Source organism: Homo sapiens, chromosome 7, assembly GCF_000001405.40.
Source record: "Homo sapiens chromosome 7, GRCh38.p14 Primary Assembly".
Classification (NCBI taxonomy): domain Eukaryota; kingdom Metazoa; phylum Chordata; class Mammalia; order Primates; family Hominidae; genus Homo; species Homo sapiens.
In genome coordinates this window covers 43,371,778-43,392,515 of record NC_000007.14, presented here as the reverse complement: position 1 = coordinate 43,392,515, position 20,738 = coordinate 43,371,778, and the positions used below count along the sequence as shown (strand labels likewise).

Genomic DNA, 20,738 nt, shown 5'->3' with positions numbered 1-20,738 from the left:
ACAAATATGAAGAAACCTAAAGCTGAATGCCAAATGAGCATGTATTTGGAAGGTAAAGCAGGAGATTTCGAAGAACTTTCTAAGCTGCCTCTTGGAATGGCCCAGACCTGGGTTTACTTCCTTTGGGTAAAAGCTGGAGCTGCTCCCTTTAGTGCATATGGCATTTCCAATAGGAGTGTGGCCACATTATGCTCAATTCTGATGTGATAACTCCATTTACATACCCACGATTATTCTCAAATAATTACAGAATTATTTCCCCTAAACATGCTGACAAGGTTTGTTTTAGTTATAGAACAATTAAATTGACAATGAGGCAGAGATTAAAATTCATTATGTCACTGAGTCTTATTCATCTGGCCCAGAAAACTTTGATTTGCCTATAAATGAAAAGTATAAGGCTCCATAATAATAATGGAACCTAAAAATGAGGTGAAAATATCATTACATTATCATAATATGTAAGCTGTGGTGTATTGGCAGCTGAAAGTAGGGAATTACGAGTTCCACTTTGCATCAGAGATCTAGGGATTCCTCTAAAGTTCAGTATCTTTTACCTCCAAGACAAAGTCTATTAAATAATCAGATAGGCCTCAAAGCCACCTTAAAAGAGCAAGAAACAAAACTAAAAAGCAAACCAACCAAAGGCCCAAGTTCCTTTTCCACCTCCAAATCTCTGAGATGTTCAAACAAGTAAATGGTAGATAAGTAAACACACCTTACCCACGTTTACAGAGCACTGCTGAGTGCATTTCCCTCATTAGACCCTCATTATATGACTGTCATTCTAACTGCTTGCTGTTGGAGGCAGCACATTTCAAGTTCTCCAACAGAAAGACCTGTAAACTGAAAGGGCAAAGCCAACTTTAGGGGCCTAAACAAAAGAAACATAAGCCAACTGAATCCCAAGGAAATCTCCCCAACCTCAGGGACACTTGAGATAAAGACTAAGAAGTCCCAACAAAGGGGCTGGGGAAAGCAACACAGGTGAGTGGCACAGAGCCAGTTCTTCCATACGCACTATTTTAACTGTTTAAGAATTAGGTATCATTCACTCCCACTCCTGCTTACAAATGTGAAAGCTGAGCTAAGAACAATTCAATGACTTTGTTCCCGGACCAAACTGAGGGTCAGGCTGCTATTTCTCGTGGCCCAATAATGAGATACAGATGAACTGGGGAGGAAGAGAGTTTTCATTTCTATAACCAGCTACAGGGAGAAGATATAGAGATTATCACCAGACCAACTCAAAATTACAAAGTTTTCCAGAACTTACATACCTTCTAAGCTATATGTCTACGTGTAAGTGTGCATTCACCTAAAGATGTAAGTGATTAACTTCTTTTAATCTATGACTAAGGTCTGAGTCCTGAAGACCTTCTTCTGGAGCCTCAGTAAGTTTATTTAATTTAAATGGGTCTAGGTGCTAGGATGATTACCCTTATCTTGTCTCCTGCCAAATTCTAAAGGTTTGGGGAGTTCCTTTAGACCCCAATAAACTTGTTTGTGGAGGCCTGGGGAGTTTTTTCAGACCCCCAATAAAACTTGTTTAATTCTAAAAGGGTCCTGTTAAGAATTCCCTCCTTATCTTGTCATGCTTCAAGGCCCAGGAAAAGCCTAGGCAAAACTCTTGGTGGGCTCTTTGTTACATTCCAGCCATTGTATAAGGGCACTGGCTCAATCAGCTTTTAATGTTTAACCTAGCTCCTCAGTCAGTGCTGGGACAGTTGTAACGGAGGCCTGTGTTAGTGAGACCTGGCCTGCCACAACTTCACAAAATTCACTTGAGATGAATCAATATTTGGTCTGAAAGACTTAAAACAAGAGTTTCAGAACTCACTACCCCAACTCCATAGAGTCTGTTAACCCCCTGGGGTCATTTCCTCAGATCTAGCCTGGCTGCTTGCATCTCTTTTGCTCATATTTTGTTCATATTCTGCCTCCACAACTCTGCTGTTTTTTTTTTGTTTTTTTTTTTAAGAGTTGCTTGCTGTGCCACCCAGGCTGGATGCAGTAGCACCATCATAGCTCACTGCAGCTTTGACTTCCTAGACTCAAGTGGTCCTCCCACCTCAGACTCCTGGGTAGCTGGGACTACAGATGTGCACCACCATGCCTGGCAAATTAAAAAAATTTTTTTGTAGGAACGGGGTCTCACTATGTTGCCCAGGCTGGTCTGGAATTTCTGGGCTCCAGTGATCCTCTTGCTTTGGTCTCCCATGTGCTGAGATTCCAGGCATGAGCCACCATGCGTGGCCTCCCTTTGCTTTCTGATGCCACCATCACCAAGCCAGCTTCCAGTCTGCACAGCTCCTGCTTTCTTTACCACCTTGAAGACAAGGCACAGGGTCCTCAATTTCAGGGCTCTTATGCTAATCACTACGAGGAAAAAGAGAGGGGTTGGAAAAATGAGGCATTTATCCTATAGCTTTCATGGTGCGAATTGGAAATAATGAGTTAATTAGGAATGATTTTCTTTACTCTGATTGCTTTTGACCACACAGGCCTGCAAGATTTTAGCACCAGGAATACATCTCCTTCAGGCAAAGATCTGCTGCTTTTAGCTTACTAAAAATAATGAGGGGGCCAGGTGGGTGGCTCACACCTGTAATCTCAGCGCTTTGGGAGGCCAAAGTGGAAGGATCACTTGAGGCCAGGAGTTCAAAATCAGCCTGAGCAACATTGTGAGACTCTTTCTCTACAAAAATTTAGTCAGGCATGGTGGTGCACACCTGTAGTCCCAGTTACTTGGGAGGCTGAGGTAGGAGGATCCCTTGAGCCCAGGAGTTCAAGGCTGCAATGAGCCATGATCACACCACTGCACTCCAGCCTGGGTGACAGAATGAGATCCTGTCTCTTTAAAACAACGACAACAACAACAACAACAACAACAACAGCAACAACAATGTGATGAGAATGTGTAAGAAGCACTGTGCAAATGAAAATGCTAGCTGAGATTAATCCAATAGTAGATTTTCCCTGACGGTTCTTAGGGTGTAAAGTGATTCTTCTCTAACATAGCTTCTTGTGTAGTGCAGACTGTTCTAAAAGTGAGGACATACATTGTACTGAGTCCTAAAAAATAATTGAGTGGCATCTGCTCTAGTGCAGAGGTTCTCCAACTTTAGCATGCATCAGAATCGCCTACAGGGCTTGATAAAACACACATTGCTGGGCCCACCCCCAGAAGGACTGATTTTGTAAGTCTGGGGACGGCTCCAGCAGTCTGAATTGCTAACAAGTTCCCAGGTGACGCTGACGCTGGCGGTGGAGGGACCACACTTTGAGAAACACCACTCTCAAGGGTCTACATCTCTTAAATGGTAATGGAAAGATAGACATCTTAAAGTTGTCTCTAACTAAACCTCACCTACCCTCAAAACTGTCTTTCCCTGACTTGCGTGAGAATTAGATTCTGGCGACCCCTTGGCCACACAGGCTTTTGTTTTCAGGGCTTGGGCCTGCATCTTCCACTAGAAACAATGACCTGCTTCTTTGCATCCCCATCACTGGCACCTTGGTCCAGGCCCCACTCCTTTCTTGTCTGGATGACCATTACCCAGCCAGCTGTCCCCTCGGCCTGTGAAGGGGTCATCATCCCACCCTCTGTAGGCCAATCATTCTTACCTGGTTCAAACTCATCAAGAGGCACCCACTGGCACAGGTAAGGCTGGGCAGTGGGCTGCATGGCAAACTGTTGGGGTTTTCTTTGGCTCACAGAGTGTTTCAGCTGGGCATGGTGGCACACACCTGTAATCCCAGCTACTCGAGGGGCTGAGGCATGAGAATTGCTTGAGCCCAGGAGGCAGAGGTTTCAGTGAGCTGAGATTATGCCACTGCACTCCAGCCTGGGCTAGTCTCAAAAACAAAACAAAACAAAAAAACCCAGAATATCCAGCAGTAACACCCTGGGGCTGAGAAACAGTATCCTCCTCAGAAGCATCACACATCCCCAGGTGTCCTGTGACTGCTTCTTTCATTCCAAGCACCCACTGCTTCACGTTTGATAATCATTATGCAGTACACCACTCATAAGTCTTGTAATTAAAATTAGGAAGTTTTTCTAGCTTGGCAATATGAAAATCAATGGTTGGTCTGAAAGTCCATGGCATTTTAGATCTGATGACATGTGATAATGACCTGGCTCCCTGGAAGCTTTTGAATTTGCAGTTCTTGTCCTGAACATTTGACCTACAAATGTGATGTTGGCCATTATTGTATTGCATAATAACCAAGTCATGTTTTATTCCTTCTTTACAAAGAGATAAATAATTCAGGAATGCATGTTGAATTCCCTGGATGTGGAGTGGATGGATGGTTGGGAGCATTTACGGAGGTGGTCACAGGCAGGTGTACAATATGGTGTGAAGAGGCAGCCAGGCTGGAGCCAGCATGTCCCTTTCTCTGCCAGCTCCTCCTCTGTCTGTGTTAGGGTGAGGCAATCAATTGCTCTAATGCTCAGTTTTCTTTTGCATCAAATGGAGATCATAATAAAACGTATCTCACTGAGTTCCCCTGAGAACGGAATGGCATAATGTGTATAAAAGTGTCACATAATACATGTTCTAAATCAGGCTAATGTTGTTATTTATATTGTATTTGTTTTTTAACCTCTGACTTCTATCTTAAGAATTATGTTAGCAGATTATCTAATATCTGATTCCTTACTTTATAGATGAAAAACGTGAAGCATAAGCTAGTCAATCAAGGGGCCCACGAGGTCACATAACTGGTCACACCAGACAAATCGGGGCCAGAGCCCAGAATCCTGAACCCTCCATTCACTGTGGAGGAGAAATCTGTTGCCCTTTGTTAGATCATTTGGTCCAGCTTAGAAGAGTTATAAATATACCATAAGCTGAAAACCAACAAAAAGCATTGGTCTGTGTCTAACACCTATGAGTTATCAGTATGGTAATTTATATCCTTTAAAAAGGCTTCCTATGTAAATGTCTTGCTGCTGTTAGCATTTTCTGCATGTCTACAAGTCTGTAAAAGACCTGAAGATGGATGGTCCTGTTTCTCTAGTTGGTTATGGAATTAGATAAACATACAGGCAGAAGCAAGAAGGAAAGTTTCCTTTGTAAAAAGTATTTAAAACTTACTTTCTCCTTCAAACTTGAGGAACCTGAGTCCTTTAATCAGAAAGACACCAACACTGTAGTAGTTTTGGTGAATAAAGACCACAGAGAAAGACCTGGATCCTCTAAGACTTAGAAAAAGGTAGAACAGGAAGAGTGAAGATGAATCCGTTTCCATAACCTCGATCCATTCAAAGCCAGCCCAAGGGAAGGGGCTGGCTGGGGGCTGTGTGAGGAGGGGAGGGAGAACAATGGGATTGGTGGTGGGGAGAGATGGAAAGGGAGTGGGAGAATGAGGGCTGATGGTTTCATGACAAGAAAGAGCTGCTGTGAGGAAAAGATGGGACCAAAACACAGTTCTGGAAGCTGCCTCAGTACCTTCTAAATGGCTGGATCATGTTTCTGCCCATCCAGACTCTATTTGAAATACACACCTCAGGAAAACAAATGCGTTGCCTGGCATGCCACACTCATCTGGATTGACTTAATATGTGGGTAGTCTTGGCCTTATGTTTCTATCCTGTTTTCTAAGGAATTCATGTCAAGCTGCTATTTTAATTATTTTGTAAACAAAACCTGTCCTTATGTGAAATAAAAAATAAAAGCACAGTGCGGTGAGCTTCTGTTAGCTTCTACACCCTTCAGCTGGCCCAAATGAGGGAACTGATGGACACATTCCTCCCTCATCTGAGCTGATTTGAGAGTCCATGGACCTGAGATGAGGGCTTACAACTTGAGATGATAGGTGACACAGCTGAAGCTGGTGGGGAAGTGGGTGGGGCAGAATTTCTGGAAGGGTTTAATTAGAAGACAGCAGAAACATGCAGGGGGGGCAGGAACATCTCCCTGATTGCTTTGGCATCACGCTGGATCTAGGGGCAAGTGTTGGCAGCTCATGTAGGGTAAGTTGTTTGAGCTGGGGCAGCACTGCTTCTTCAGGGCTCATGCACATCCCTGGGAGTGGGTTTCTGTATCATGTGGGTAGTTAGAAACTCTGGGCTGAGTCGGGATGGCTTGGCTCTTCTCTTTCCTCCTCCACCTTCAACCTCCAAATACCAGGATGACTAGGGGGACCCTTCTGAGCCTTTGCAGCAGGCAGAATTCTAAGATGGGCCCCAAGATTTCCTGCCTCTGTGGTGTATGTGCTCAGGGACTGTGAATTACTCTGGAATCAGGATAGCTGACTTTAACAAAGGGACATTATAAGGGGCTGACTGAATCACACAAATTCTTTCAATCTGGGCCTAGAGGTCAAAGAGAGAGAGGAAGTCAAAGATTCAAGGTGAGAAGGGTTTGACACACCATTGCAGGCTGGAAGATGGAGGGGACCACGTGGTAAGGAATGTGGGCGGCATGAAGGACCCAGGTTGGCCCCTGGCTGAGTCAGCAAGGAAACAGGAAACAGGCACTTCTGTCCTAACCACAAGGAACTGAATTCTGCCAACAACAAGAATGAGCTTGAAAGTAGGCTTTTCCACAGAACTTCCAGATGAGAACTCAGCCTGGCTGACATTGATTTCAGGTATTTTACCTTGCAATAGACTGAGCAGAGAATCCAGCCATGCTGTCCAGGACTTCTGACCTATAGACCCACGAGCTAACTTTGTGATAATTTGTAACACAACAAAATAGGAAATGAATACAACCTTCTTCAAGCAATTTCCTTCATGATCCAAAGCTCATTTTCAACATATTCTTTTGCCTTGGGAGAAATATCTGCCTGATTGTAGAACCAACAACAGTTGTATTTCTCCTGGGAAACTATGGCTGGTCTTCATCTTCTGGAAACCATGAACTGTGTAATTGGCCTTGCTCTTCTGTTAGCAAGGGCAACATGAACTCATGGAGATCAGCCCCTTACCCCAGCTCTCTGAGGGACGGCTCTGCCATGGTGTAGGAGCTGCCCCAGGCTTTACCAAGACCATGTGAGTCAGACTGGGGGTGGGGAGGTGGGTGGGACTTGGGCATCTGTCCTCTTTAAGGCTCCCAGGTGAGTCCAGTGTATACTCAAGGATGTGAATCACAAAATTAGAGGGCAGAAGACAGAGGCAGAGAGACTAATTTGGAGGCAGCTGCAACAGTGTCTGAGTGACACTGACACAAACCCTGTCTGTCAGTACGCAGGAGGGGAGGGGAGAGGGGAGGGGAGGGGAGAGGGGAGGGGAGGGGAGAGGGGAGGGGAGGGGAGAGGGAAGGGGAGGGGAGAGGGGAGGGGTGGGGAGAGGGGAGGGGAGGGGAGAGGGGAGACTGCCAAGTGATAAAATGGATAGAACTTGGTGACCGATTGGAAGAGGGTGTTGAGGGAAAGAGAGATGCCCCTTTGGCTGAACCCGTTTCTTTGAATTCAGGATCTTTTTCTTACAAATTATGAAACTCCTTGTAATTATTGTCCTTCCAGAACTGCGTTTTGTCCTTTATCACCAAGTCTAGTTAAGGATGCAGGAGTGACAAGAGTTAGCTCTTTTCATCTAAGCATGTGAGGTTGGAGGGAGAAACTGCTTTGATTCTACTTTTTAAAATAGCGATTAAACCAAACGACTGCAAAGCCTTTGGGTAAATGAAATCATAGGAAGTGTGTCGGTTGCTGTTCCATCTGGGTCAGACAGTCTGCTTAGTGAAGACAAGGGCTGCATTTTGCATAGAGCTCTTTCCAGCCACCCACTCCCTCTCACGGAATAGATGAGCAATTTTGAGGGATAATCCAAAGAAGAATGGACATGGCTCATTCATGTGAGTGTAATGGCAAAAACATGATAATATTTACTCCTCACTGAATGAAAAGATGCCTAGAAAATGATTTTTTTTAAAGGCAAACGTTTTCCCCCTCACTGACTTGCTTTAAAATTTCTAAGTTGTATTCCCATCTAAAAATATGTTTAAGTTTTAGGCAAAGACGTATTTTTTTCTTGCTAATGTAACATCTTTTTTCCTATGGACATGCCACATGGATACTTAGGAAAAGCTCTCTAAGGTCCAAGGGTGAGCTTGCTGCCAGCCCCAGGCACACCGCCATCTTGGGGCTCTGTCTTCCTGCAGCAGCTGCCACATTCCCTCCAGAGGTGTTCCTGGGGCTTCCTGCTACCCATGGGTTGCTGGATCATGGGATGAGTGAATTAATCTTTCATTAAATACTGGCCAGCATCCAAGAACTTCACACCTACCTTCTTCTGCATTTCCAGGGGGTACGTGGAGAACCCCAAGACAACACTCACTTGTGCTCTAGAAGTAACCGGTAGTAATTCTCAACAAATTACAGTTGACTCTTGAACAACATGGGTTTGAACTGTGTGAGTCTACTTACACATGAATTTTTTCAGTACACATATTTGAAAACATGTTGGAGTTTGCAACAATTTGAAAAAACTTGCAGACAAAGCACCAACTCAGAGACAGCAAGACCAACTCCTCCTCTTCCTCCTCCTCCTCCTCAGTCTACTCAATGTAATGACAAGGATGAAAACCTTTATGATGATCCACTTCCACTTAATGACTAGCAAATATATTTTCTCTTCCTTATGACTTTCTTAATATTTTTTCTCTAGCTTACTTTATTGTAAGAATATGGTATATAATACAAATAACATATAAAATATGTTAATCAACTGTTACTGGCAAGGCTTCTAGTTAACAACAGGGTGTTAGTGGTTAAGTTTTGGGGGAGTCAAAAGTTATACACAAATGTTTGACTGCATGGGGGATTGGAAGCCCTAAACTCCTGTGTTGTTCAAGGGCCAACTGCATTTTCTTAGAAATATTTGCTAATATCCAGAATCTACAAGGAACTTGAACAAATTTATAAGAAAATAACCCTATCAAAAAGTGGGCAAAGGATATGAACAGATGCTTCTCAAAAGAAGGTATTTATGTGGCCAATAAACATATGTAAAAAAGCTCATCATCACTGGTCATTAGAGAAATGCAAATCAAAACCACAATGAGATGCCATTTCACGCCAGTTAGAATGGCAATTATTAAAAAGTCAGGAAACAACAGATGCTGGCGAGGCTGTGGAGAAACAGGAATATTTTTACACTATTGGTGGGAGTGTAAATTAGTTCAACCATTGTGGAAGACAGTGTGGCAATTCCTCAAGGATCTAGAACCAGAAATACCATTTGACTCAGCAATCCCATTACTGGGTATATACCCAAAGGATCATAAATCATGCTACTATAAAGACACATGCACACATATGTTTATTGTAGCACGATTTACAATAGCAAAGACTTGGAACCAACCCGAATACCCATCAATGATAGACTGGATAAAGAAAATGTGGCACACATACACCATGGAATACTATGCTGCCATAAAAAAATAATGAGTTCATGTCCTTTGCAGGTACGTGGATGAAGCCAGAAGCCATTGTTCTCAGTAAACTAACACAGGAACAGAAAACCAAACACCACATGTTCTCACTCATAAGTGGGAGTTGAAAAATGAGAACACATGGACACAGGGAAGGGAACATCACACACTGGGGCCTGTTGGGTGGTGGGGGACAAGGGGAGGGAGAGCATTAGGACAAACCCCTAATGCATGTGGGGCTTAAAACCTAGATGACGGGTTGATGGGTGCAGCAATCCACCATGGCACATGTATACCTATGTAACAAACCTGCATGTTTAGCACATGTATCCCAGAACTTAAAGTAAGATAATAAATCCACATTTCAGTCATCATTTTGAACTATGTGCAATCCATCCACTCAGTTCACTCATTTATCCAACCCCTCCCCCCACATCTATCCTTCCATCTGGTGGGATAGATCCACTGTCTATTCATCTTACAGATACTATTCTAGGGTCAGTAAATTCCTTTAAAAGAGACATCTTGAATGAGGGATTAAGCTCCTGCTTATAGGCAGTAACTCGTTATTTTTTGCACTTTCCAGTTTTGTATATGTTGTCCAAATATGCATTTTCTCTATGATGTTGAAATCTATGTATTTTGTAACCAGAGAGCTGGAGTAGTCCCAGAGAGAAACATTATAGAAAAGCTCACAAAACAGTACTAATTAACTTTTACTGGGTAGTTACCCCATGTGGGGCAAGTGCTGAGAGCATCACAGGCATTGCTTCACCGCATCCTCAGACACACTTTCCACAGTCCTCTGAAGGGGCTTCTATTTTTTTTTTTTTTCTTTTTTGAGACGGAGTCTCGCTCTGTCGCCCAGGCTGGAGTGCAGTGGCGCGATCTCGGCTCACTGCAAGCTCCGCCTCCTGGGTTCACGCCATTCTCCTGCCTCAGCCTCCCGAGCAGCTGGGACTACAGGCCCCCACCACCATGCCCAGCTAATTTTTTGTATTTTCTAGTAGAGACGGGGTTTCACCATGTTAGCCAGGATGGTTTCGCTCTCCTGACCTCGTGATCCATCTGCCTTGGCCTCCCAAAGTGCTGGGACTACAGGCGTGAGGGGCTTCTATTTTTATCTTCTATCCATATCATTATAAATCCAGAATTTGAGGCTCAGCTGGGTGTGGTGACTCACACCTGTAATCAGAGCACTCTGGGAGGCCAAGGCAGGAGGACTGCTTGAGGCCAGGAGTTTGAGACCAGCCTGGGCAACACAGTGAAACCCCATTTCTAAAAAAATTTTTAAAAAATTATCAGCCAGGTGTGGTGGCTCACACCTATAATCCCAGCACTTTGTGAGGCCAAGGCAGGCAGATCACCTGAGGTCGAGAGTTTGCGACCAGCCTAGCCAACATGGTGAAACTCTGTCTCTACTGAAAATACAAAAATTAGCTGGGTGTGGTGGCACATGCCTGTAATCCCAGCTACTTGGGAGGTTGAGACAGGAGAGAGAATTGGTTACTTGAGAGGTCGAGACAGGAGACAGGAGAATCACCCGGGAGGTGGAGGTTGCAGTGAGCGGATATCGCACCACTGCACTCCAGCCTAGGTGACAGAGCAAGACTCCATCTCAAAAAAAAAAAAAAAAAATTAGCCATGCATGGTAGCATGTGCCTGTAGTCCTAGCTACTCAGGAGGCAAAGGTGGGAGAATTGCTTGAGCCCAGGAGTTCAAGGCTGCAGTGAGCTGTGATCAAGCCATTGCCCTCCAGCTTTGGTAACAGAGCAAGACTCTTGCCTCCAAGAAGTAAATAAATAAATAAAAGTAAGAACTTTAATTCACCACAGCACCAAGATTCTAAAATGCCATCCACAGGTAGAAGATATATAACAAAGAACTATATCCAGAATATATAAAGAACTACAAATTAGCATGAAAAAAGTAAACAGCCCAATGGGAAAAGAGGACAAAAGATTTTGCAAACTCTTCACAAAAGCAGGAATCCAATGGCCAATAAACCTGGGGTCCCTAACATGAAAAAATGTTCACTTCATTAATCATCAGGAAGATACAAATAAAGCTACACTGCAATACTACTACATACCCTTTCACAACTAAAAATAAAAAGACAATATCAAGTGTTAGCAAGGATGTGGAACAACTGGAGCTCTCATACACTGCTGGTGGAAGTGTAAATTTGTAAAACCACTTTGTAAAACTTTAGCAGAATCTACTAAAAATTATCATATGCATAAACCATGACCTAATAATTTCACCCTAATTATATACCCATCAAAAGTTACATATATTGGCCAGGCCTGGTGGCTCATGCCTGTAATCCCAGCACTTCAGGAGGCCGAGGCAGGTGGATCACCTGAGGTCAGGAGTTTGAGATCAACCTGGCCAACATGGTGAAACCCTGTCTCTACTAAAAATACAAAAAAATTACCCGAGTGTGGTGGTAGGTGCCTGTAATCCCAGCTACTTGGAGGCTGAGGCAGGAGAATCGCTTGAACCCAGGAGATGGAGGTTGCAGTGAGCCAAGATCTCACCATTGCACCTTAGCCTAGGTAACAAGAGCAAAACTTCATCTAGGGGGAAAAAATCACATACATTCACCAAAAAAATGTATAAAAATATTCATAGCAGCAACACTAAACCCAAATGTCCATCAACAGTAGAATAAACTGGTACAGTCACACAAAAGAATGAAAAACTACAGCACGATATGGATTAATCCTACAAAAGTAATGTTGAGCAAAAGAAACTCAAAGAGGCTGGGCACAGTGGCTCATTCCTGTAATCCCAGCACTTTGGGAGGACAAGACAGGAGAATCGCTTGAGCCCAGGAGTTTGAGACCAGCGTGGGCAACAAAGCAAGACTCCATCTCTACAAAAATTTAAAAATTTTTAAAAATATTAGCCAGGTGTGGTGGCATGTGCCTGTAGTCCTAGCTACTCAGGAGGCTGAGGCAGGGGGATTGCTTGAGCACAGGAGGTCAAAGTTGCAGTGAACCTGATAACACCACTGAATTCTAGCCTGGGCTACAGAGTGAGACCTTGTCTCAACAAAAGAGAAATTGAGGCCCAAGGCCACCAAGTTATTAAGTGGCTGAGCCAGGGAATAACCCATGTTTGTTGGATACAAATGTTTTATGGGCCGTCTGCTGTGTGCCAGGTACTGCTCTGGTGGGTGATAAGGAACAGCTCTGAAGAGGACAGGCAGGTACATCTCTGCCCCTGGAGGCTGCCCTTTAGGAGGGAGGCAAACACAATTACAACACGAGCACCATGAATGAAAATAGTGATTGGAGAAAATAAAGAGCTGTGTGGAGAATAGTTTAGATAGGGTGGTGATGTAAGGCCTCTCCCAGGAGGGGACATTTGAGAAAACGATCTAAATGGGGGGAGGGAGTGAATTATTTATTTGGAGGAACTGTCCCAAGCAGAGAAACCTGAAGTGCAAGGGCCCTGAGGGAAGAACCATCTTGCTGTATTCAAGGATTAGAAAGAGGACTCTCGAGGCTGGAATTAGGTGGAAAGAATGAGGCAGTGTCAGGCAAGGGCAGAGCAGCAGGAATGATGGTGAAAAAGCCACTGGAGAGTTCTGAGTGGAATCGTTATGTAATGGGATGGAAGTGATTGAGCGGAGAGGACAGTGGACTATGCAGGAGAAGGAGGAGCTACTTTCAGGATCAAGGCTGCATAAAGACAAGATGGGATGGGATCCCATGTGCAAATGGAGAGGCTGGCCTGAGACAGTTGTCACTGGAAGGAGGCACAGCATGGGAGTGTGTGTGCAGGCAGGCTGGCTGTGTTCTGATTGCCTTCATTTCTCAGTGAGAGAGGGAAGGGCACTCTAGGTGTGAGGAAAATGGAAGTGTAAAGCAGCCTTCTCTCCACATCAGAGAGGTGCAGTGCTTCTGGGATTGAGCGTTAAAGGGAGCTTGAGATCTGTGGTCATAAGATTAAAGGAACACTCTTATGCTGCCTGCATGCAAGTAAAGAGTGGACAGAGAATTAAGTTTAACGAGGGTGGGGTTTTGCCAGGTGAGGGTGATGGGTTTTGTTTTACTTCAGTTGTGCTCTTAACTTCCTATGCCTATTAGTCCAACACAGTGCTTGTGTGAGCAAGGGCACACCGCCCCCCCATAAGCAATAACCACCCCATGTTCTATGTCTGGAAGGTAGGTTGTCCCTATTTTCTTTCCTGTTCAAAGCGCAAAGGGTTTTTTATTTTGTTTTTTGAGACAGTCTTGTCTGTTTCACCATCATTCCTGCTGCTCTGCCCTTGCCTGACATTGCCTCCTTCTTTTGTTTTTATTTTTGTTTTTTGAGACAGTCTCACTCTGTTGCCCAGGCTGGAGTGCAGTAGCGCAATCTCAGTTCATGGCAACCTCTGCCTCCTGGGTTCAAGCTATTCTCATGCCTCAGCCTCCTGAGTAGCTGGGATTACAGGTGCACACCACCACACTCAGCTAATTTTTTGTATTTTTAGTAGAAATGGGGTTTCACTATGTTGGCCAGGCTGGTCTCAAACTCCCGACCTCAAGTGATCCACCCGCCTTGGCCTCCCAAAGTGCTAGAATTACAGGTGTGAGCCACCATGCCTGGCCGAAAGTGCCAAGGGTTTTAACCATGCGTATTTGGGATGTCTGACAGGACAATGCAGAATCTTTCTAAGGCAGGTTATCTGAGAGAGCTCCGCTCATAAACCACATGATTGTTCTAGATAGCTCTTTGTTACAGGCTGCTCTCTGAAAAGTTAGATTCTCCTGCTCTTGAATAATCCTATTCCTGACAAGTCCTCTCCTCTCTCCTCATCCAGTAGTCACTGTGTACACAGGAGAGCAAAATCACCTCATATTTGCTAAGTCCTTAATAAAAGGCAAACTAAAGAGACTTAGAAATTTCTAGAAATGAAGGGTCTACAAAGAAGATGATTAGATTAGAATAACTAGATTACAAAAATATAATGTTGACAATTTTAAGCAAGCAAGCTTTTTTTCAAATCTGAAAGTGTAACACACATATATACATATTATATACTTGGCTAATAAAATTAAGTAGTTTCCAATTAAACTCAACTCTTTAAAACACAACTATTTATTAGTGACTATGTGTAAATGTATAAATTTGGATGTATAACTACATTGTACCCATAAACTGAGCATTAATGCTAAGGGTCTACTAACCTCCTTGGAAATGCAGTCATCTTTGTGTTCTGCCAGAGCAGCCATTTCTCATAAAAGAGAGTTGCAGTGAAGAATGCAGGCAGGGAAATTATCCATAGCTCTGGGGGAGGCATAAGAAAGTCCCCAGGATCAGACTTCCCTTTGATCCAAGGGCTGCTTGATAATTCCGACTTCCCATTGGCAGAGAGCACACAGATAAGGGCCTTTACACCCTGGCAACATGCCTGGGGACTTCATTAACTTAAGGGCTTCTGCCATCTTTGCTGTAAGTAACATAGGAAAAACTCACAAAGAGAAAAAAAATGTTATTTCTGTGCATTCATATGCAAGGATTTGATTCTAATTTTTTGGACTCTTTCAGGAAACAGCCCACCGGAGAAAACCCCTGATCTAAAAGCACCAGTCCTGTCTTAATCTACAGCACCTTAAATCCAGGGACACTTTCACCTAGTTTAGATGGTTGAAAGAAGTGGGATCTAATGCTCTACTAGAACCTGAGATTAATTATTGTGAGGGGGCAGGGTGAGGTCACAGTGAACCACAAACTCTTGAGTAAGCGCATTTTGAGGGCTTTGCTCCTTGGGTTAGTCTTAATGTGTGTTTTGAAGCAAAAGAAATGAGTTGATCATAGTTAATCCATTTGTTCATCGACCTGAACTTCCCTGTCCTCATAGAGCAAGAAGGGTAAAAAGCACTGATGGTAGAACATTCTGCCTTCAGAACAGGCTTGAAAAGGTAGTTGGTATGGAGGAGGAGATGGGCCTGGGCTGCCTTCCTCCCTACTCTGGGTCTCATGGTGTTGGGTGAGGCCAGGGATGGGAAGAGCACAGTCCCAGGCATCTCTGACTTGTCCGAATGCCTCTGTGCTACATTCATTCACCTGCTTACAAGTCAGACTAACTTTACTCATGTTGGCTCTGTGAGATCCTTGGGAAGTAAGAATTTATTTTTCTCAAGACTTTTACCTGAAGAAAAGTCTTTTTTTTTCACTAAAGTGTGACCACTAAATTGAATGCTGGAGTTGAAAGTTACAAATCTGAAATCAAGATCTATATATTTGAAATGTCTTTTTTTTTTGAGACAGAGTCCTTGCTCTGTCACCCAGGCTGGAGTGCAATGGCACGATCTCGGCTCACTGCAACCTCTGCCCCCTGGGTTCAAGCAATTGTCCTGCCTCAGCCTCCCAAGTAGCTGGGATTACAGACGCCTGCCACCACGCCCAGCTAATTTTTTATATTTTTGGTGGAGATGGGGTTTCACCATGTCAGCCAGGCTGATCTCGAACTCCTGACCTCAAGTGATCCACTTGCCTAGGCCTCCCAAAGTGCTGGGATTATAGGTGTAAGCCACTGTGCCGAGCTATATTTGAAATTTTTTATCCTTCAGTGAAATGTTAATACAAAGAGTTTTTATTGAGAGGCCATTTAGGATTTAAAAACCAGGATGTAATCAGCTAGACTTTTGCCAACTCACGGGCACCTACTGAGTAAAGGGCATGGTGTCCAATGGCCTGGAGAATCCACATAGCCCAGACGCTGGCTGGCTACCCCCATCCCAGGGAGACTTGCTATACTTATTTTAATTGCTGGCTCTGCAGTCAGAGATGATCAAAAAGCCCTTCCTTTCTGCAGGTTCCTGAGGCTCGTTGGGTGGTGAGATTATTACGGTGACATTTTTCTTCTGTTTATATGGATTCCCAAGGAACATGTACTATTTTACTTTTTAAATGTTAGAGCTGGTGGCATCTTACACGCTTATTTTGGTCCTAATTTTAATTCTAAAAACCTCTAGTGTTTCATGGTTAAGTATTGTAATAGGTGAGTATATGTTTGGTTTATTGGGTTATGTGGAGATGATCAAGCTCATATAAATAAAAATAAAATAGTGTGTGTATATATATGTGTGTATATATATACATATTTCATATATATATATATGATTATATATATGCACCTCAACCAGTAATTATACTGCCTTTTTCATTCAAATGTTATCTTTACCATGGCAAGTCTTGATTTTTAAAGAGCTTTTTTTCCTTTTTTTTTTTTTTTTTGAGAAGGGTCTCATCTGTCACCCAGGCTGGAGTACAATGGTTTGATCATGGCTCACTGCAGCCTTGACCTCCAGGGCTCAAGCAATCCTCTCACCATAGTCCCTCCAGTAGCTGGGATTACAGGCACATGCTATCATGCCTGGCTAATTTTTGTAGTTTTTGTAGAGACAGGGTTTTGCCATGTTGCCCAGGCTGGCCTTGAACTCCTGGTCTCAAGTGATCTGCCCACTTCAGCCTCCCAAACTGCTGGGATTATTGGTGAGCCACCATGCCTGGCCTGGAGCTTTTTTAAAAACAAGTGTTACAGAATACCTCTTTATTATTTTTTATTTAGCTAATTGGTGCAATAAGCCATACAATATATATTTAAGTAATAAAATAATAATACATCCTTGCAATCATTTCAGCATATCTCTTTATAAGTAATTAGTTTCCTTATTCACTACCGGTTTCTGCCATCCACAATTTTCGCAATCCTGAAATCGTATATTTGACATGTGGGCAATTTCTCTATTTTTACGTGCTTGAGAATGTCTGTATTTGGCATAGTCACATATCACTGACAACTGGTACAGTAGAGAACTATTTTTTTTTTCCCTTTAAATAGACATCTTACCAAGCACATCTTTGTGCTGTGAAGAGAACATTCAAATTTTCTTGGCTTTTGCTATTTTCCAGGCGTCCGACAGTTTCTCCTGTTTGTTTATAGCATTCTTCAGTTCAAAAATTCTTCCTCCAGGAACCCCTTGGCTCCTTTTGGAGTAAATTCAATGCAAGAAACTGAAGGAAATTTTAGGAAATTTCACAATGTTCTTAACATGATTCAAAAGAACATTTTATTTTTAAAACTTTATTAGAGCAATGAATGGTAAGAAGGACTATGTAGTTGCAGAAGCTTGCTGTGTATTGGATTATTATTGTTTTTTCTTATTTATGTGTCTACAAATTTTCTACTATGAACCTACATATATATTTTATTATATCAATTCCAGCTATCTGAAATATGAAGAATTTCAATTTTAATTAGGTATGTATTTTTTTAGATAAAAAATATTTTCATCTTTTTTTCACTGGTTATTATATTTCTCTATTTTTTTTTTTTTTTTTTTTTTTTTTTGAGACGGAGTCTAGCTCTGTCGCCCAGGCTGGAGTGCAGTGGCGGGATCTCGGCTCACTGCAAGCTCCGCCTCCCGGGTTCAAGCCATTCTCCTGCCTCAGCTTCCCAAGTAGCTGGGACTACAGGCGCCCGCCACTGCGCCCGGCTAATTTTTTGTATTTTTAGTAGAGACGGGGTTTCACCGTTTTAGCCGGGATGGTCTCGATCTCCTGACCTCGTGATCCGCCCGCCTCGGCCTCCCAAAGTGCATCTGTTGTTCATAAATTAGATTTCTGGGTTTTAAAAAGTTCTATTTTCATCTTCTGTTTCCACTGGGTTGGGGATGATTTTGTTTTAGTTTGTCTTCTAATTCAGTAATTCCTTTTCCCGTGGTCTCTAAGTCACATACCTGTGACTGTTGGTCAAAAGGTTGGACCCATTATCTCCTTACTGTCCTTCTTACCATTCTTTGCTCTCTCAGGAAGTTTCAAAGATACAATGTTCTCTTGAATCATGTAGAGAACAGGTGTAATTTTCTAGAATTTCTTTACATTGAATTTATTTCAAAAGGAGCCAACCTCTATGAATTTTCGTAGTGTTTCTTTTTATTTGAACCCCAGAATACTTTTTATATGAAATGAGTGATAACTTATTTCAATGCAAAGAATGAAACAACAAATAATTTTCCTGACCAAATAACCAGTGGAGTTTCCTCAAAGAAATACCTATATCAAGCAACCCGTGGATCCTCCTACAGAGGAATGGATAATCAGAATAGAGCATATACATACTAGGGAATACTATTCAGCCTTAAAAAGGGAGGAAATTCTGGCACACGCGGCAACATGGTTGAACCTTGAAGATACTATGTTCACTGAAATAAGCCAGGCACAAAAGGGCAAACACTGTATGATTCCTCCTATATGAGGTGCCTAGTGTGGTCAAATTCCTAGAGACAGGAAGTAGGATGGTGGCTGCCAAGGGCTCCGAGGATGGGGAGAATGAGGAGCTGGTGTTTAGTGGGGACAGAATTTCAGTTTGGGAAGATGAAAAGTCCTGGAGATAGACGGTGATGATGGTTGGACAACGTGAATGCACACAGTGTCACTGAGCTCTACATGCTGAAAAATGGTTATGATGGTAAATTTTGTTATGTATATTTTACCACAATTAAAAATTAAAAAAAAACAAACATGTAAATCTACTATACCAGCCATTAGAAGGGACAGTTTACTCAAATTTGTATTTGTAGGCACAGGCAAAGAAAAAAATAAGTTTAAAAAAAACAGTGAGATTCTTTTTTCAGAGCGAGACAGGGAAAAGAAAGAAAAGAAAGGAGCCGGGCATGGTGGCTCATGCCTGTAATCCCAGCACTTTGGGAAGCCAAGGCAGGAGGATCACTTGAGATCAGGAGTTTGAGACGAGCCTGGCCAACAGAGAAACCCCATCTCGACTAAAATACAAAATTCAGGTAGGAGAATCACTTGAATCTAAGAGGCAGAGGTTGCAGTGAGCCCAGATCAAGCCACTGCACTCCAGCCTGAGCAACAGAGGGAGACTCTGTCTCAAAAAGAAAAAAAAAAAAAAAAAAAAGGAAGAAGGCAGAACGACACCAACGTGCATGGGCAGCACCACAGAGCTCACTGTGATGCCTGCAGTGACTCCCAGCACCGTTAGTCTGCTTTGCCTCCATCTCTTCCTGCTCCAGGTTTGGGGCATCTTAATGACATTATAATCATCAGAAATTCCTCTCCATTTCTGGCCTAAGCACTTTCTTCATCTCTGGATTTAATTAAATCATGGGTTTCAGTATTGATTGGTTTTGTCTTTTCTGTTTATCATTCCCATAGGAATGGCTGTGGGGTTGATGGGTAGACTAAACAGGCATCTATATCACTTGATGAGCGTCTGACCCCTGCTCTGGAAAAGGAGGGATTTGGCAACCGTTTTAGCACTCATATATTAGCACATGCCAACATTCTTTCCCTTTGCATCAAGGACTAAATTGTGACACTACAAGTTTGAGCATCTAGATAAAGCCAGACCAGTCATGAGAAGAGAGAAAAGGGAATATTTAAAAAAAATTTAAAAATATTTTACAAGGCTTTTTCCTTGTAAAAAAATTTATTTAAAAAAATTATAGATGTTAAAATAGTTAACAGAGAAAACACAAAAAGCCACAATCCCACTATTTTGATAATTCCTGTGATTTTTTTAAAAAAGAAATCTATTGTTAGAAAACATAAACAAGTCTAAAAAAAGGAAAACAGTGGGGAGCGGGGAGGGATAGCATTAGGAGATATACCTAATGAAAACGACGAGTTAATGGGTGCAGCACACCAACATGGCACATGTATACATGTGTATACATATGTAACAAACCTGCACGTTGTGCACATGTACCCTAGAACTTAAAGTATAATAATAATAAAAAAAGGAAAATAACCCTTTGTTAGTAAATATAAACAGGTAAAAAAGAAAAGGCACAGAATGATAAGTGAAATCCTGCACACCCCACCCCCACATAATCCTCAAAGGTAGTCACTGTTACTCATTTCTTGTTATCCTTTCCTGGAAATAATTTTTCTAACTATTAATTAAAAACTACATCAATGGGGTAATATTAAAGGCACTGCTCTGAGCCTTGCTTTTGCACTTCATAAAACATATTGAGGCCGGGCTTGGTGGCTCACACCTGTAATCCCAGCACTTTGGGAGGCTGAGACGGGCAGATCTCCTGAGGTCAGGAGTTCAAGACCAGACTGGCCAACATGGTGAAATCCCATCTCTACTAAAAATACAAAAAAATTAGCGGGGCGTGGTGGTGGGCACCTGTAATCTCAGCTACTAGGGAGGTTGAGGCAGGAGAATCACTTGAACCAGGGAGGAGGAGGTTGCAGTGAGCCGAGACCGTGCCATTGCACTCTAGCCTGGGCAACAAGAACGAAACTCTGTCTCAAAACAAAACAAAATCCACCATCAACAAAAAATGTATTGAGAACCTTTCCCCATAATCA

The 20,738-nt window shown here is 42.7% G+C and overlaps 1 protein-coding gene across 19 annotated transcripts in view, besides 1 other annotated feature; it reads right to left on the bottom strand.

Annotated features, from left to right (window-relative positions):
* Positions 1-20,738, bottom strand: part of HECW1 (HECT, C2 and WW domain containing E3 ubiquitin protein ligase 1) — a 453,355-nt gene that overhangs the window by 173,486 nt on the left and 259,131 nt on the right. The window contains exon 1 of one of the 19 annotated variants that reach the window (XM_011515226.4): positions 14,573-14,688. The exons of the other annotated variants lie outside the window; for them this stretch is intronic. Within the exon in view, the coding sequence (XP_011513528.1) occupies positions 14,573-14,617 (45 nt within the window). The 5' untranslated portion in view covers positions 14,618-14,688. Of the gene's footprint in view, positions 1-14,572; positions 14,689-20,738 lie in introns of those variants that run through there. 19 annotated transcript variants of the gene reach the window in all.
* Positions 15,339-15,838: an enhancer, noted in NCBI's record as "H3K27ac hESC enhancer chr7:43416277-43416776 (GRCh37/hg19 assembly coordinates)". NCBI's record gives its function as "activates a minimal SCP1, AML or CMV promoter by ChIP-STARR-seq in naive H9 embryonic stem cells {active_cell/tissue: H9 hESC(naive)}" and the evidence as "EXISTENCE:reporter gene assay evidence [ECO:0000049][PMID:30033119]".